At 47.7% G+C, this 18,569-nt stretch overlaps 1 protein-coding gene across 4 annotated transcripts in view; it reads left to right on the top strand.

Annotated features, from left to right (window-relative positions):
• The window catches only part of NOS1 (nitric oxide synthase 1), a 153,485-nt gene that overhangs the window by 54,443 nt on the left and 80,473 nt on the right, over window positions 1-18,569 (top strand). For 2 of the 4 annotated variants that reach the window (NM_000620.5, NM_001204218.2), the window contains exon 4: window positions 16,758-16,886. In NM_000620.5, the coding sequence (NP_000611.1) occupies window positions 16,758-16,886 (129 nt within the window). Of the gene's footprint in view, window positions 1-2,131; window positions 2,231-5,112; window positions 5,169-16,757; window positions 16,887-18,569 lie in introns of those variants that run through there. The other 2 variants (NM_001204213.2, NM_001204214.2) reach the window with 2 other exon arrangements.

Below are 18,569 nucleotides of genomic sequence, written 5' to 3'. Positions count from 1 at the left end.
GTTCGAAGGAAGAAGCAGGGGAGGCCTTGACTCCGCAAGAAAGACACTAAAAGTCAATGCAGAAATCTGAGCAATGGCAGACTGGTCATTTCCTTGCACACTGCCCACCTTAGTTAGACAATGCCAACTTGCAAAGCATAACTTTGGTCTTCAAGCCTGAGGAGTGGAGCTCAACATTGAGAACAGGACCTCAGGGTTTTGAAGATCAGATAAGTGTTTGCCTAAAACAAAAAGGAAACAGGCATTATAGTAAAAGGAATGCGGGGCCAGGCGCGGTGGCTCACGCCTGTAATCCCAGCACTTTGGGAGGCCAGGGTGGGAAGATCCCCTGAGGTCAGGAGTTTGAGACCAGCCTGGCCAACATGGCGAAACTCCATCTCTACTAAAAATACAAAAATTAGCCGGGCATGATGGTAGGCACCTGTAATCTCAGCTACTCAGGAGGCTGAGGTGGGAGAATTGCTTGAACCTGGGAGGTGGAGGTTGCAGTGAGCTCAGATCACACCACTGCACTCCAGCCTGGGCGACAGAGCGAGACTCCATCTGAAAAAAAAAAAAAGGAGTGGTTGTGGCGGATAACATTGCTTTTTTTTCTTGCTGAGGATCATTATTAGTTCTCTGAGGTTGTCTTTGGTGCTCACAACACCTGAGACACTTGCTGAGTTTTGACATCATCAAAGGCTGTTATCGTAATCATCATCTTAAGTGAAAAGCTACCCTAGATAAATAACATGAGGACCTACCTGCTGTTGGGCCATTCTCCCTACAAACTCAGCGCTGGAAGAAGGACCGCTAGCCTTTGCAGGATGTGACAATGAAAGGACAGGAAGATATATGGAGAGCTTGCCTTAAGGCCTCTGCTAATATAGAAATTCCGTTTGCTTGGAGAAGGGAAGGACTTTGAGGGTGCTGGAGAAAGGGGGTAAGACTGAATCTTCCAAGGTGAAGTAAGTGTGCCGAGCAGTTTTAGCCTAGAGAGTTCCTGGGAGCATGACTGATAGACCAGCAGAGCTTGGGATTTACGTTCGTCTTTGCCCACCATCAAATCCTTAATGTAGGATTTGACCCAAAAAGATTTAAAACCACGGGCCAGGCCAGGCAAGGTGGTTCTCGACTGTAATCCCAGCACTTTGGGAGGCTGAGGTGGGCAGATCACCTGAGGTCGGGAGTTCGAAACCAGTGTGGCCAACATGGTGAAACTCCGTCTCTACTAAAAATACGAGAATGAGCCCAGGCGTGAGGCACACACCTGTACTCCTAGCTACTCGGGAGGCTGAGGCACAAGAATTGCTTGAGCCTGGGAGTTGGAGGTTTCAGTGAGCCGAGACTGCACCACTGCACTCCAGCCTAGGCAAGAGAGTGAGACTCCGCCTCAGGAAAAAAAAAAAAAAAAGTCACGGGCCTGCGAAATCATCCTGGCTCTGTTGTCTGAGATTCAATTTTCCAAATGCCTCTCAGAAATAGAGCTGTCAGGAGGCAGAGACCCTAGCGCTCAGATATATTTGAGTCCCAGCTCCAGCGCAAAGGAAACAGCCCTATTACCGCCTGCTAGACATCTCCATAGGCACAGGCTTCAGAAATGCTTCCCAGGGTGAGCAAATTAATAGAAAACACAATGTTCTTTTTTCCATCCTGAAAGATGATCTCCTAACCTCGCCTCTACCTGCTCAAAGCCACTGTACCTGGAGCTCCTGGAATCAGCTTCTTTTTTTTTTTTTTTGAGATGGAGTCTCACTCAGTCGCCCAGGCAAGAGTGCAATGACGCGATCTCCGCTCACTGCAAGCTCCGCCTCCCAGGTTCACGCCATTCTTCTGCCTCAGCCTCCCGAGTAGCTGGGACTACAGGCGCCCACCACCACGTCCGGCTAATTTTTTTTGTATTTTTAGTAGAGACGGGGTTTCACCGTGTTAGCAAGGATGGTCTCGATCTCCTGACCTTGTGATCCACCCGCCTCGGCCTCCCAAAGTGCTGAGATTACAGGCGTGAGCCACCGCTCCCAGCCGGAATCAGCTTCTATCCTTCCAGTTGTAACCCACATTTATGGCTTGTTTAAGCATCCACAGGGGGCCTAGCATTGTTAATGTCACAAAGAGGAACCCAGCCACTACCTGCAATCCTGAGTCAGGAAGGGATAGGTGGGGGTTGAGAAATGGCTGGGCAGGGCAGCAAAGCAACTGCCAAGGACTGGGCAAAAGGCAATAGAATGCAATTGAAGCAGGACGAATGCAGGTTAGACATGAGGAAGAACTTCCTAACACAGGAGACTATAAGTTCCTGGAGGAAATAGTGAGGTCTGACCCCTTGGGAATCCCAGAAGGGATCCCCACCCTCTTCGATGCTCTTGTTTGTCTAGATTCAAAGAAAATCAGCCCTAGAGGCATCTTCTTTTAAGTCCATCTCAGGAGGCTGAGGCATTAATCTTTATCTAGCAGTCATTTCTCTTGCCAACAGTCTGGGTCACTGTGGGTGGGGCCAGTGAGACGAGTCCCCAGTCACAGAGTGCGTTGTGTGTATGACTTTGTGACCCTCATCTTCACCACCCCCTTGCAAATTGCATCTGGCCTGGGATAGTAGATAGAACAAATCAGTTCATCTGTCACCATTCACTTGATAACCTGCCGTGTGCGTAGTTCTGGGGTAGAAGCAAAGCTGAGCAAACACAGGCTTCCCTGCCCTTGAGACCCTCACGGATGTGTGTGGGGAGAGACTCACATAAGATTCAATTAGTGCTGAAATAAAGAGGAGCACAAAATGCTTTGGGAACATAATTACCTCAGCAAGTAGATACCAGGGAAGGTTTACCCCAAGAAGTGACACCTGGTCTGGGTTTTGAAGCTCAGGTAGAAGTTTGCCTAAAAGAAAATGGAAAAAGGCATTATAGGCAAGGGAATGGTTGTGGCTGATATGTTGCTTTTTATTTTTTTCGCTAAGGATCATTATTAGTTCTCTGAGGTTGCCTTTGGTGCTAACACCACCTGAGACACATGTTGTGTTTTTGTGGTTTTTTTTTTGAGATGGAGTCTCGCTCTGTCGCCCAGGCTGGAGTGCAGTGGCCTGATCTCGGCTCACTGCAAGCTCCACCTCCCAGGTTCACGCCATTCTCCTGCCTCAGCCTCCCCAGCAGCTGGGACTACAGGCGCACGCCGCCACGCCCGGCTAATTTTTTGTATTTTTGGCAGAGACGGGGTTTCACTGAGTTAGCCAGGATGGTCTCAATCTCCTGACCTTGTGATCCACCCGCCTCAGCCTCCCAAAGTGCTGGAATTACAGGCGTGAACACATGTTGAGTTTTGACATCATCCTAAAGGCTGTTATAATAATCGTCTTAAGTAAAAAGCTACCCCAGATAAACAACATGAGGACCTGCTGTTGGGCCATCCTCCCTGCACAAACTCAGGATTCAAATCAAGCCCTTCTTGCCTTCCTTTCTTATTAAGCATCGTTTCCCTTGCCTGTCTGGTTTGCCTTCCTAAGAGAGAAGGGGTAGAACTGTGCCCTGTTTGGGGATGGAACATCTATTTTCAGATACCAATTAAGCATCAGTCAAACCCTTAGTACGAGGTTCGAGTGGGGACGGGGCCGGACCTGGGAAGTGGTGTTTTCATTTGGGGTTCTCTCCTCTTTTCCATCCTTCCCATTGCCCTTGCCCCTCCCTCCAGCCTCTAGCTGGTAAAGGTGATCAGATAGAGAGATCACTGTTATATCGAAATCCCACTCCCCAAGCTCAGCCACCTGAGGATCAAGGCATTTTCTCACCCCTGGGGACGCAGGGCTTGCTAGCTGCTTTCAAAATGTCAAAATCTGTTGAGAAGATTTTCCCTATTTCCAGGTAAATGACAGCACCCCCCAGCTTCTCTAGAGAGCTCTAAATTATGAGAAAGGTGGGGGACAGGCTTGCGGGCCGTTTCTTTCCCAATCTTTAGGGGATCCAAGGTCACCAGGATGACACCAACTGGCCTGCTACTGCTGGCCTTGCTGAAAACCAAAAGGGTGTAGCCAGCCCCAGCCAGCCTGGGTCTGAATGAAGGCAAACCAGTAAAATGCTCTGCCTCTTGGAGACAACCTAGCATGCTCACCAGGAAGCCTTCTAAATCAGCCTTACGGTAATGATGTCAGGATAAAAATAACAGTAACAGTGGCCCAGCGCGGTGGCTCACACCTGTAATCCCGACACTTTGGGAGGCCAGTGAGGGTGGATCACTTGAGATCAGGAGTTCGAGACCAGCCTGGCCAACATGGTGAAACCCTGTCTCTACTAAAAATACAAAAATTAGCTGGGCTTGGTGGCGTGTGCCTGTAGTCCCAGCTACTCAGGAGGCTGAGGCGGGGGAATTGCTTGAACCTGGGAGGCGGAGGTTGCATTGAGCTGAGATCGTGCCACTGCACTCCAGCCTGGGCATTGGAGTGAGACCCTATCTCAAAAAAATAAAAAAATTTTAAAAAGTAACAGTGATAACAATATCACGGTGCAGGTGTGTAGCCATTTTAACCCTTGGACTCATGAGCCCACAGCACTGAGGCCAGGAATCCAGCGCCAAGCTGGTGACCTTGGTCAGACAACTAATTTTTTTTTTTTTTTTTTTTTTTTGAGACGGAGTCTCGCTCTTTCACCCAGGCTGGAGTGCAGTGGCCCGATCTCGGCTCACTGCAGGCTCTGCCCCCTGGGGTTCACGCCATTCTCCTGCCTCAGCCTCCCGCGTAGCTGGGACTACAGGCGCCCGCCACCTCACCCGGCTAATTTTTTGTATTTTTAGTAGAGATGGGGTTTCACCATGTTAGCCAGGATGGTCTCGATCTCCTGACCTCATGATCCGCCCGCCTCGGCCTCCCAAAGTGCTGGGATTACAGGCGTGAGCCACCGCGCCGGCCGACAACTAATTATTAATAGCATCTGTGCTGAGCCTCCCTTTCCTAATAGGGGCTAATAGGCTCATCAAGTTGTGGGGAGGATGAAATGAGATAATGTATGAGATAATGATGTCAACCATAACAACAGGACCTAATATATTTATTGAGCAATATCAGGTACTGTGCTAAGCACTTTAAGTCCATGGCTTCATTGAACCCCCAGCTCAACCCAATGAAATACTGTGATTGTCTCCATTTTACAGATGAGGAAACTGAGAATCACAGAGGGTTTTGGTGCTCAACGAGGGTCACATAACCAGTAAGTGTTGGAGATGGGATTTGAACCCAGGCCATGGAGCCCTGAGCCCACTCTACAGGGCCTGGCACAGAATAAATGCTCAACAAATGTTGGGGTCGTTACTATTGTTCTTATTTGGCTAAATAATATATTGCGAATTTGAGGCAGATAAGAAGCACTGTGCCCATTTTACAGATGAAACCCTTGTGGCCAACAGGTGACCCAAAGCCCAAAGTGACCACCCATTGAGTCATGACAAGGCTGCATCTCCTCCCCTTTGTGACCACATCGTCATCTTTGTCACTCATTGAAATCAATGGGACAGATGTGATTTATGCCTCCTGGGGGCCGGGCTGTGGAAACACACAGAGAAAAGAGCAGGAGGGCCTTGAGTGGAAAGAGGGGAACTTTGAGGGCCTGGATTCCAAGCCCAGCTCTATTGCTTGTTTTTCATTAATTTGGGGATAGCCACGTCACCTCTCACAGCCTCTATTTTCTGATCTGAAGAATGGGTTACCATGAGGATTCAATGAGCCCATGGATGTGCAGTGGCCTAGCCCAGGTCAGGCACCAAATAGGCATTTACTGAATGTTACTCAAAATGAAATGAAGGCCAGGTGTAGCTCATGCCTGTAATCCCAGCACTTTGGGAGGCAGAGGCAGGTGGAACACTTTAGGTCGGGAATTTGAGACCAGCCTGGCCAACATGGTGAAACCGTTTCTACTAAAAATACAAAAAATATTAGCCAGGTGTGGTGGCACACACTTGTAATCCCAGCTACTTGGGAGGCTGAGGCAGGAGGATCGCTTGAACCTGGGAGACAGAGGTTGCAGTGAGCCAAGATGGTGCCACTACACTCCAGCCTGGGTGACAGAGTGAGACTCCATCTCAAGAGAAATGAAATTGAGTATGATCACTGCCCTGGAGCAGTTCACAGCCGAGCCATCCCCTCTTCTCATTTGATATGCACCTCAACTTCTGAAAACTTCTACTTTCAAGACAAACTACAGATGGAAATACACACAGTAGTCATCATATTGTGATATTTGGGGTTTCATAGACTCATGCACAGATGTTACCCACAGAGCTGCCTTGGCTGGCTTTGGCAGAGTCCATCGGCTCCCTTGAGGCTGACATCTCAGGGTGCTTCTTGATTACTCCTTTCCCTAAGTCTCTCTCGAAGCATTTGAGAAACCTCTTGCATTTTGAGATTAATTTCCCTCTGTAGGAGGATGCCCCAAATCCCTAGTTCTAAGCTGCAGTCCAACTCATTTTTGCCCCTACTTCAATTAGGTCAGGTATCCCTTGCCTTGGTCTAGATACCCAAGTTGGATTTTCCCAAAGGCATCTTCAGTGCCCCACTTCTTAGGGTGATCCAACATTCCCAGGGTGCCCTCAAACCAGCAGACCCCCCACCAAGATGCTTTCTAGGGATGTATACTGAACACAGTCTCTCTCCATCCCAGAGGCATCTTCCTTCCTTCCACCTGAGCCATCGCCTGCTCAGTGACTCCCAGGTCTTTATAGGTCACTGAGCCAAGAGGCCAGCAACCAAACTTGCTGTCCTGGGTGGTCAGAGCCAGGGTGGAGCCAGGAAGTGGTGCGTGAATTGACTAGTGTTTGGGTTCAGCCCTGCTGGAATTTCCACATATTTTGCTAACTGTTTGTTTTAAGAGTGAGTATATTCAATGCAGGCTGTCCCAACTGTTGTCCAGGTCTGACAATGACACTGTGGTTCACAATCAGTGACACCACTCTGCACGCTCCTTCACTGCGTCACCCCATATTGAAATGCTTTTCCCAAAAAGGGCAAGTTGGGTCAAAGTCATTTTTCTTCCTCTCTGTAAATTGGTATCAGTTGCCAAAACCAACCTCCCACCAAACAGAGGCTCTTACAGGTCAACAGCCCCAGCCTATTTCCATTTCCTGAGGTTCCCAGGATTTTCTAAGATACAAGGGCCAAAACATAAACATGAAACTTGTTGTGCATTTTCAATATTTGCATTTAGCAAGTTAAGGCTTTCAACAAACAAACACAGTATGATGCGGTATCATAGGGCAGGCCACGAGATAATTACAGGATTGATGTTAAGATTAATTCCTAGTGTATATATACATTCTGGTCTGGTAATGGGACCAAGCTGAAAGTTGTCCAGTAACATCTGGCTATACTATGATATCACTGCAATTTGGAGAAAGCTTAAAAAGTTCAGCCTTGATGCCCCTCGGTCCTCCAGAGGTCTCCACTATCACCCTGAATCCTTAACTGGGTGAGTCTGACTCCCAAGCACCCCCATTTTTAATCACCTTCTACAGACTGTTGAATTACAGAAGAGAGAGAGAGAGAGAGAGAGGCAGAGTAAGCAATGTCAACTTTCTTTTTTTCTTTTTTTTTTTTTTGGAGACAAAGTCTCAGTCGCCCAGGCTGGAGTGCGGTGGCGCGATCTCGGCTCACTGCAAGCTCCGCCTCCCGGGTTCAAGCCATTCTCCTGCCTCAGCCTCCCGAGTAGCTGGGACTACAGGCGCCCGCCACCACGCCCGGCTAGTTTTTTTGTATTTTTAGTGGAGGTGGGGTTTCACCGTGTTAGCCAGGATGGTCTTGATCTCCTGACCTCGTGATCCGCCCACCTCGGCCTCCCAAAGTGCTGGGATTACAGGCGTGAGCCACCGCGCCCGGCCAGCAATGTCAAGTTTCTATGGAGTTATCTTAAGGAACGAATCACTTTAGACATAGTGCTTTGAATACACTAAAGGAAATTATATTCCAAAGTACTAAATACACTTGGTTAAGTTCTATACATAGCAATTTTTTAATTGTACGGATAAGTGGGTACCTTCTGGTTTTGTGAGTCTGTGGGCCTGGACCCTGAGCTGTCCCAGCTTGTAACCAGGTTATGCTTGCTGCCCGGGAGAGGTGGTACCCACAGGTGGGTGCGATGCCGCCCAGGGCTGCAGCAAAGGGCACAGTGTGTGGCGTCTGGCCCATGGTGTGAATGGCCCTCTGCCCAGCTCAGCCCCAGTGTGCTGCCCTCATTTCAGGACAAGCCAAACAGGGCAGGTTGCTGCAGGCCTCTAATAGAGGAGCTGTCACTGGTGCCGATAGCATAAGAATAAGAAGCGACTTGCTTTGTACAAGTTTAGGCCTTAGCTCTTAGAGTAGTTTACTAGGGCTGCTGTAATAAAACACCACCAACTGGTGGCTTAAACAGCAGAATGGATTGCCTCACAGTTCTGGAGGCCAGAAATACAAAATCAAGGTGTTGGCGGTGCTGGTTCCTTCCGAGGGCTGGGAGGGAGAAGCTGACCCAGTCCTCCCTCCTTGGCTTGTAGGTGGCCGTCTTCATGTTCACATGGCGCTCTCCCTGTGAGCACATCTGCCTTCAAATTTCTCTTTTCTCTAAGGACACCAGCCCTACTGGATCAGGACCCATGCTGATGACCTCGTTTTTAACTTGATTTCCTCTGTAAAGGCCCTAACTCCAAAGAAAGCCACATTCTGAGGCAGTTTAGGACATCAACATATGAATTTGATGGGGATGGGGAGGGAGGACATGGTTCAGCCCATAATACAGGGGTCCCCAAACCCCAGGCCACAGACCAGTACTGGCCTGTTAGGAGCTGGGCTGCACAGCAGGAGGTGAGCGGCAGGCGAGCAAGTGAAGCTTCATCTGTATTTACAGCTGCCCCCATCGCTCGCATTACCGCCTGGGCTCTGCCCCCTGTCAGATCAGTGGTGGCCTTAGATTCTCATAGGAGCTCGTACCCTACTGTGAACTGCACCTGCAAGGGATCTAGGCTGCCTGCGCTTATGAGAATCTAATGCCTGATGATCTGTCACTGTCTCCCATCTCCCCCAGATGGGACCATCTAGTTGCAGAAAACAAGCTCAGTGCTCCCACTGATTGTACATTCTGGTGAGTTGTGTAATGATTTCATTGTGTATTATAATATAATAATAATAGAAATAGTGCACACGATCAATGTAATGCCCTTGAATCATCCTGAACATGCCCCCGACCACCAGTCCATGGAAAAATTGTCTTCCACAAAACCGATCCCTGGTGCCAAAAAGGTTGAGGACTGCTGCCATAATAGCTCCTAAGATGTTGTATGTCTTGGAGGCGCCTGCCTGCCTCCCCTGGTGTAGTTGTCAGTCCTGGTTTCACTGTGAGGCTCGTGACAGTGACAGCCACTACTAGGGAAGGGCAGGTGCTTGGCCTCTGTGTCTTGGTGTTCTGAGTTCTGGTGCTGAGTTTCTGTCTTCTTGCCTAAAAAATCTCCCTCTGTCCACTGCCCAGCACACCTGCTTCTTACTTCCTAGTGTCTGCTAAAAAGCCCACCATCCAGCTGGGTGCAGTGGCTCATGCCTATAATCCCAGCACTTTGGGAGGCCAAGGCAGGCGGATACCTGAGGTCGGGAGTTCGAGATCAGCCCAACCAACATGAAGAAACCCCATCTCCACTAAAACTACAAAAATTAGCCAGGCATGGTGGCACATGCCTGTAATCCCAGCTACTCAGGAGGCTGAGGCAGGAGAATCATTTGAACCCATGAGGCAGAGGTTGCAGTGAGCTGAGATCGCACCATTGCACTCCAGCCTGGGCAACAAGAGCAAAACTCTATCTCAAAAAAAAGCCCACCATCCTTCCACTTACCCAATCCATGTTTACTTTATCCTTTGCCCCGATCCTCTCCTACCCAGAGACTCTCAGTTCCACTTCCAGAGCCCCCAACCTTCAGTTCCCTGCTTCCAGTCCTGCTGCCCCTGCAGCTGCATTCCAACCCCATGGCTACTCCTGGCCTCATTGCACCATCCTCCTCATGGGTCTCTCTGCCTTGACCCTCTCCCTCCTGCAATCCTTGCAATCATGTCTTTCCTAAAATCCAGCTGAGATAAGATCACTCACTCTATGAAATCAAGGCCAACATCCTTGGCTTAGCATTTAAGGAACTCTACAGTGTTGAAACTTTTTAGACCTTGTGTTAGTTTGCTCAGGTTTTAATCACAAAGGACCATTGCCTGGGTGGCTTAGACAACAGAAATTTACAGCTCACAGTTCTGGGGGTTGGAAGTCCAAGATCATGGTGCCAGCATGGTCAGGTTCTGGAGAGGGCTTTCTTGTCAGCTTGCAGACATCTGCCTTCTCTGTGTCCTCACATGGCAGACAAAGAGAAAGAGCTCTCTCTTCCTTTTCATATAAGGCCACCAATCCTATCAGATTAGGGCCCCACCCTTATGATCTTGTTTAACCTTCATTATCTCCTAAAAGTTCTATCTCCCAACAAAATCACATGGGGGTGGGGGATGGAGGTTAGGGCTTTGTATTAGTCAGGGTTCTCTAGAGGGACAGAATTAATAGAATAGATGTATATATAAAGAGTTTATTAAGGAGTATTAACTCACACGAACACAAGGTGAGGTCCCACAATAGGCCATCTACAAGCTGAGGAGCAAGGAAGCCAGCCCGAGTCCCAAAGCTAAAGAACTTGGAGTCCAATGTTCAAGCGCAGGAAGCATCCAGCACGGGAGAAAGATGTAGGCTCAGAGGCTAAGCCAGTCTGGTCTTTTTATGTTCTTCTGGTGCTTTTATTCTTCTGGCTGCACTGGCAGCTAATTAGATTGTGCCCACCCACATTGAGGGTGGGTCTGCCTTTCCCAGTCCACTGACTCAGATGTTAGTGTCCTTTGGCAACACCCTCACGGACACACTCAGGGACAGTACTTTGCATTCTTCAATCCAATGAAGTTGACACTCAGTATTAACTATCACAGGCTTCAAATAAATTTGGAGGAAGGACAGAATGCAGTCTCATGCAGATCTCATATGTTTATTGAACATATACTGTGTGCTGGGCACTGTTTCAGGGATAGAACAAACTGAACAGTGGGTAGGCAGAAAACAAGTATTATCTAAATGCCTATATAGGTAAATGTAAATCTATATCTACAAGATATAGAAATGTAGGTGTGCACATACATGTCCAGGTACATATATGCTCATGATGACCACAGGTAGTGTTAAGTGCTATGGGGAAAACAAAGCATGGTAAGGGTGATTGGGGGCAGAGAATGACAAGGAAGTGACACTGCTTTAAAGAATGATCACAGCCGGCACAGTGGCTCACATGTGTAATCCTAGCACTTTGGGAGGCTGAGGTGGGCAGATCACCTGAGGTCAGGAGTTCGAGACCAGCCTGGCCAACATGGTGAAACCTCGTCTCTACTAAAAAAAAAAAAAATAGAAAAATTAGCCAGGCATGGTGGTGCATGCCTGTAATCCCAGCTACTCAGGAGGCTGAGGCAGGAGAATCACTTAACCCAGAAGATGATGGAGGTTGCAGTGAGCCAAGATCACACCACTGCACTTCAGCCTGGGCGACAGAGTGAGACTCTGTCTCAAAAAAAAAAAAAAAAAAAAGAATGATCAGGAAAGATCTCTAACATGACGGCATTTGAGCAAACGCAGTGATCGGGGTCAGCCACTGGAATTCAACCCTTTACATCAGGCATCCACAAACCTTTTATCTAAAGGACAAGATAAATATTTTTGGCTTTGTGGGCCACATGGCCTTGGACTCTATCAAAATACTAGCCAGCTCTGACATTGTCATGTCAAAGCTGCCACATGCTATATGGACTCAAATGAGCCCCAATGAAATTTTATTTATGGATACTAACATTTGAACATCATATAACTTTTGTGTGTCACAAAATATTCTCCTTTTGATTTTTGCATTCAATAACCCAAAAATGGAAAAAATCCTTCTTAGCTCAGAAGCTGTACAAAAACAGACAGTGGGCCACGCCGTCTGCAGATCTCTGCTTTAGAAGAAGCAGCTGTAAGATGCTTTTCCCAGTTGTGGGATGAGAGTCATTCAGTGGCTGCTGAGTCCTAGAATACTAGTCCCCAAAATATAGTAGGTGCTCAATATGCACTTGTTGAAGGGGAGAAAGAAGGGAGAAAAGGAGAGGGGAAAAGGAATCAGAGCTTCAGCAGTCCTTGGAAGTGGCATTCTCAGCTCTGGAGCCCAGGCTGACGTGACCGCACCTCCCTGCCTCCTTTTGAGCCTGGCTGCAGGACCATTTCCTTTCATTCCTTCAGGGCCTCTGCAAGCTTCCTAGGCAAAGAGGTGTTGACAAGGCTATGAAAATGCCCATGAGATCATGGCCTCCTTTGCACACTTAGGGGCGGGTGTCCCAGGGGTCCACAAAGAGCGAGCCAATGTCTCCTCCCACCTAAAAGCTTCCCTTGTCCCCACCACAGACATAAAGCCAGAAAAGGGAGTATGTAGCCACAGCCCAAAGCCCACTTGTGCCCTGTGCCCAACATAATAACTCACAAGTGCTGCTAATCTGCATTTTGACCAGGAGAACTTTGGTGCCCACTCAGAATAGTCATTTGCATCCTGCATGCAGGGCCCCTGACTGCTATATTAATCTCCCCGTTTCTCCCCTCCTGAGTCATCTAATATTGCTGCTGGCTAATTAAAACATCAAAGTGCCAAGTACAACAGCCCTGCCAGAAGCCTCCTAATGCCTGGTTTCAAGTGTGCAATCCAGTGAAACCCAGGGCGGAGGGTGGCACGGCTCGCACTCGGGCAGCCAATTACTTGACTCGTAACGACCACCCCTCGCACATCTGGGACCTCAACAGATGGCCTCTTTTATTAGTCCTGTTATCTCGCTCCTCCCCCTCCCTGGTGATGAAAACTGTCGGCTGCCGCCCACAGGCCACACCCTGCTCCTCCTCCTCACGCCTGGCCCCCCACCCTCTGAGTCCTGGGCCCAGACCCGATGTCATCACCACATCTGTCATCCCCGCCCTGGGATTTCAGCTGCTCCTCAGCCTCTACAGTGTTCACATGGGTGGCCGAGAGGGTTTCTAAACTGGCTGAGTGAAACTGGGTATGTAGGGAGAATGGCTGGGGTGCCTTCCTGTGGGCAAGGTAGGATTATTTGTTTTTTTTCTCAATGATACAGGTTGTGGGCACAATCAGAGGGATGTGTTTGCTACAAAGCCCTGCCCAGATGTGACTTTCATCACCTCCAAGACTCCTCCTGGAAGACACAGGAGGGGAGACAGGATCTTAAAGAAGTGTTTAGGGTGCCTGGCCAGACGTTTGAACAAAGTGGGGTTGTTTGTATCCAACTTCCTAGGGAAACATGGGCACAATAACTTAGACAGGCTAGAAAGTATAAATGAGGAACAAAGGAAAGAACTCGCCCAAACCTTTATCATGCTCCCAGTGTGGTAGTGTAGTAGTAATACTTGCAGAAGTAATAATAGTAATACAAGTAATAATATAAGTAATAATAATACAAGTAATAATAGTAATACAAGTAATAATACAAGTAGTAATAATAATACAAGTAATAATATACAAGTAATACAAGTAATAATACTTGCAGAAGTATTGCAGTACTACAAGAAATACTTCTAATACTGTAAATTGGGCTAGTAGTCACATAATAATAACATTTATAATAATAAATAATGGCTAACATTTAGGGGTGACTATGATCATCCAAGTAAGAGATGACTTAGTCAGGGTGCTGGCCAGTGGAAGGGGAGAGGAGTGAATGGATTCTAGAGCTAGTTAAAAAGCTAAAATGGGGGAGAGTCAGTGATGAGTTGGGTGTGGGAGATAGAGAAGAGGCTGATGATTAAGATAGCTCCCACCCGTGGCTTGTCCTGCACAGATGGTTGGTAGCGCCCGGCACTGAGGAGGACCAGATCTGGCGAGGGCCAGGAGCCGTGGAAGATTATGAATCCTAGCACCTTCCGTGTGTTCCCTGTGCTGCCACAGCCTGCACTCTTCCGGAGCAGTCTTTAACAGTGGCACGCTCTTCCCCACCTCCTGTTCCCCAGGCTCCAACATGGCGCCATGAATGCTTTAACACAGAACTCAGAACTCTTATTCCGCTGGCTGCAAAGGTGGCCATGATAGTTCTCTTAACTCAGGACCTCTGCATGATCTGTTCTCTCTGCCTGTAAGACCTTGCTTCCTCTTCCTTGCCTGGCTAGCACGTACTCATCTTCTGGTCTTGACCTAGAAGTTAGATGTGTCTTCTATGTGCTCCCACCTCCCCTGTGCTGCCAAGGTCCCATGTAATGGCATCCATTGTGCTAAATCGATTGCAATGGCTCATTCAGTTTTCGTCACCCCCTACAGGACTGTGACTCCATGGGAGCAGAGATCACATCCATCTAGCTTGTCACTATAGTCTTGGTCTCTGCTGCCTCACCTGGCACATAGGAACTACTCAATAAACATGTGTTAAATTAATGAATTATTCCTGATGGCCAGGAGGCAGGATAGTCAAGCTGTTAAGGGCATGGTTTGGGAGCCAGACTGCCTGGATTGGACTCCTTTCTTCAGCTTATTAGCTCTACAATCTTGGGCAACTTAACCTCTCTGTGCCTCAGTTTCCTAATCTGTAAAATGGAGATAATAAGGTTGTTGCTTGGCACATAATCAGTGCTCATTTAATGTTAGTCTTCAGTATTAGTCCTTCGCAGTTCTCTGTGACTTCTATCCTGGACTTTGATCCAGCTCATTTGATCATAATTCACAGCTACCGTCACCAGCCTGAGCTCCTCCAAGCCAGTGAGATGAGTGCCCTGCCTCCTTTCTGATTTTATCTCCTTACACTTGCCCTCATGCATACACTCCAGCCACACTCAACCTCCTTGCTGGTCCTTTGAACTTAACAAGTTCATTCCCATGTCAGTGCCTTTGCACTTGCCCTTCTCCCCTCCACTTAGTTACAGTCACCTCCCCATTTTCTATTCTTATCATCACCTGGAATTATACTGACCCTATATTAGTTTACTTACTGTTTATCTCCACCTCTACCACATAACACTCCAGAGGGCAAGGTACCTGTCTGTATTCTTCACTGCTGAATCCCCAGTGCCTATTTATTGAGCATGTATTATAATAGGTGCTCAATAAATGCTAATTGAATGTATGAATGCCCTGCCTCAAGGTCACTGTGCACTGATGTACTCTTTGCATGAGTGTCACTTAACATTGGCTCATCTTCTCCCTGATCTTGCTTGGCTTTCGCATCAGGGTGCACCTGCTGCCCCTCCCTTAGAGTTACTAAGTGACCAATGCTTGCCTGATGCATGTGTGTGCCTGTACCCAGGCAGGTAGACAATAACCCAGGAGCATCCAAGACAGATGTGATCCTAGGCCAGGCACGATGACTCACACCTGTAATCCCAACACTTTGGGAGGCTGAGGCAGGAGGATTACTTGAGTCTAGGAGTTCAAGACCAACCTGGGCAACATAGTGAGACCCCCATCTCTACAAAATATATAAGAAATTAGCTGGGCATGGTGACACGCACCTGTAGTCCCAGCTACTTGGGAGGGTGAGGTGGAAGGATTGCTTGAGCCTAGGAGGTCAAGGCTACAGTGAGCTATGATTGGACCACTGCACTCCAGCCTATGTGACAGAGCAAGACCCTATCTCAAAAAAAAAAAAAAAAAAAAAAGACAGATGTAATCCTTATCAGTGAGGTCTACAATGAATGGGCCAACACTGGTCAGCCTGAGATTTATCCCCCCTCACCTACTGGCCAAATCATTTGCAGAGTGAAGACAAATGGGGGACTAAAGGTCCCCATAAAGAGGCTCTTCCATGGTTTCTTTCCATGTAGGTGTTCAAGACAGAGGGGACGGTAAGTGCAAAGGCCCTGAGGCAGGAACAAGCCTGGAAGTTTTAAAAATCAGAAACCAGAAATTTGGGGACAATATTCTTTGCTTCACATTTTTTCAATTTATTTTATTTTATTTCATTATTATTTTTCTGAGATGGAGGCTCCTTCTGTCTCCCAGGCTGGAGTGCAGTGGTGCAATCTTGGCTCACTGCAGCCTCTGCCTCTCGGGTTCAAGTGATTCTCCTGCCTCAGCCTCCCAAGTAGCTGAGATTACAGGTGTGCACTACCACACCTGGCTAATTTTTGTATTTTTTAATAGAGACAAGGTTTCACCAAGTTGGCCAGGCTGATCTCGAACTTCTGATCTCAAGTGATCCGCCCACCTCGGGCTCCCAGAGTGCTGGGATTACAGGTGTGAGCCACTGTGCCTGGCCCAAAATTTTTCAATTTAAATCTTTCTGTTTTCTCAGTACTCGCCAGAAATGGTGAGTTTGGACTGTCACAGAAAGGCCTAGAAATCCAAGTAAATCGACCCAGCTTTAGGTTTGATTCCTCGGTGCTGGGGGCTATTATCATTCAAAGAGGCTGATGGTGTCCTTTCAGTCATGTATTCATTCAACAAATATTCACCGAGTCCTTCCTCAGTGTGTCCGACCCTGTTGAACCAGAGAGACCACCTTTGAGTTCCTGACCCCTCTCCCCAGAGCAGAATCCTAGAGGCTCTTCCATGGTGTTTCTTTCCATGTAAGTGGGGAAATCAGGTTCCCAGGAACCTTGTACATGTCAAGCAGGAAGGGCTGGATCTTACTCTGGATGTAGACAGTTGGTCACTCAAGGCAGATCCCAGGAAGAACAATGGCTCTCCCAGCCTCTGTGGAGACAATGTTACAGTCCACTCAAGGCCCTGCCTCATCTTCCACCTTCATTCTCTCCTGCAGCCCCCCACCTCAGGAAAACAGTCCCCCACAAAGAATGGCAGCCCCTCCAAGTGTCCACGCTTCCTCAAGGTCAAGAACTGGGAGACTGAGGTGGTTCTCACTGACACCCTCCACCTTAAGAGCACATTGGTAAGTATCCCAGCAGGGTGTAGATGAGAGGGTGGCAGCTTCATCACTATCCACATTTGGAGTCGGATAAGTCTTTGTTGTGGGGGCTGTCCTCTGTTGTAGGGTGTTGAGCACCACCCCTGACCCATACCCCCTAGATGTCAGTACGCCCCCTTCCAGGTTGTGACAACCAAAAATGTCTCTGACAGAGCAGGAGCACTGCCGTCTTGGGCAAACACTGCCATTTTAAGTTCCAGCTCCCTTTCTAACTTCATGTATTTCAAGGAAATCACCTCCCTTCTAACAACAAGCAGCCAGAAAAAGCAGATAGTAAAACACAGATAAGACAGCTCGGGCACACAGGGAGGGGGGAAAGTCTCTTGGGTAACCACCAAACTTCAAACTCATACAATGGGCTCCAGTAAAACAGTGGGCCTTAATAAGCATATTCCTTTCCCTTTAGATGCACAAAGATAGGGAAGCTAAAAGCAGACTTGCGGGGTATGCCTGCAGCTGCAAGAAAATATATGGGAACAGACACAAAAACTCTCCCTCCCAGATAAGCAAGACAAAGAGACACAGAAACATTCCAAGCTTGTGATAAGCTCTACCACCCTAAACCCTTAAATACTCTTAGTCTGTAAAAAAGAGTGCTCCTCATTAGGACAAACACCTAATGCATGCGGGGCTTAAAACCTAGATGATGGGTTGATAGGTGCCCACCATGGCACATGTATACATATGTAACAAACCTGCACGTTCTGCACGTGTATCCCGAACTTAAAGAAAAACAATAAAGAGTGCTCCTAACCTAACTTGGCCAGAAGCCCCTCTCAGGTTTATTCTTTAAAATAAACCTGTCTCTGACTGTTAAGCCACTTTTCATGTTTCTTTCTTCCTTCTTCAACTCTTACAGTCTCCAAGACATTACCTAACATTCCCTGGGCAAGAAATTCACCCCTGTTTGAGAACCACTGGTGGATTCTCACTCTCTTATGTAAATGCTTTTTATTTGTGAACCCAGTACACAAAAGAATCTAAGGGAAGTTGCTGCTTGCGAATATCATCTCTGTCTCTCACAGTCTGACCACTGGTGGAGTATTAAACAAACCCTTCCTTGATTTCACAGTGTGTCCTCAGTATTTTTATTTCATATTTTTAATAGTCAACAAACCATTATATTGCTTTAAATTTTTGTTGAACCTGGGCCTCTTGGAAGAATGGTATCTGCAAGCTATTACAATGTAACAAATTGCCCTGAAACTTAGTGGCTGAAAACAACTATTAAAACTATGTATTATTTTTCAAAAGTCTACGGATTGGCTGGGTAGATCAGTGATTGATCTGGTCCAGACTCTGTTGATTTTGGTGAGGCTTTCTCATGCATCTGTAGTTACATCTGAGGGGTCAGCTAAGGTCAGGGTGGTCTAGGATGGTCCTGGCTGAGATAACTCAACCCTGTTCCATGTGGTCTCTCCTCTTCCAGCAAGCTAGCTTGGGCTTGTTCACATGTAGTTGCAGGGTTCTAAGAGAATGAGCAGAAACATGCAAGAACTCTTGAGGCTTAGACTCAGAGTTGTCACAGGGTCATTTCTGCCACATCCTAAGGGTCAAAACCAGCCCAGAGTCAAGGGGTTAAGGGATAGGTTCCACTTCTTCATGGAGAATTGTTGTAAAGCCACATCTCAAAGGGTGTGAATACAG

The sequence above is a fragment of the Homo sapiens genome, chromosome 12 (genome assembly GCF_000001405.40).
Source record: "Homo sapiens chromosome 12, GRCh38.p14 Primary Assembly".
Classification (NCBI taxonomy): domain Eukaryota; kingdom Metazoa; phylum Chordata; class Mammalia; order Primates; family Hominidae; genus Homo; species Homo sapiens.
The sequence above is the reverse complement of the archived record's forward strand: the minus strand, read 5'-3'. Positions and strand labels throughout refer to the sequence as shown.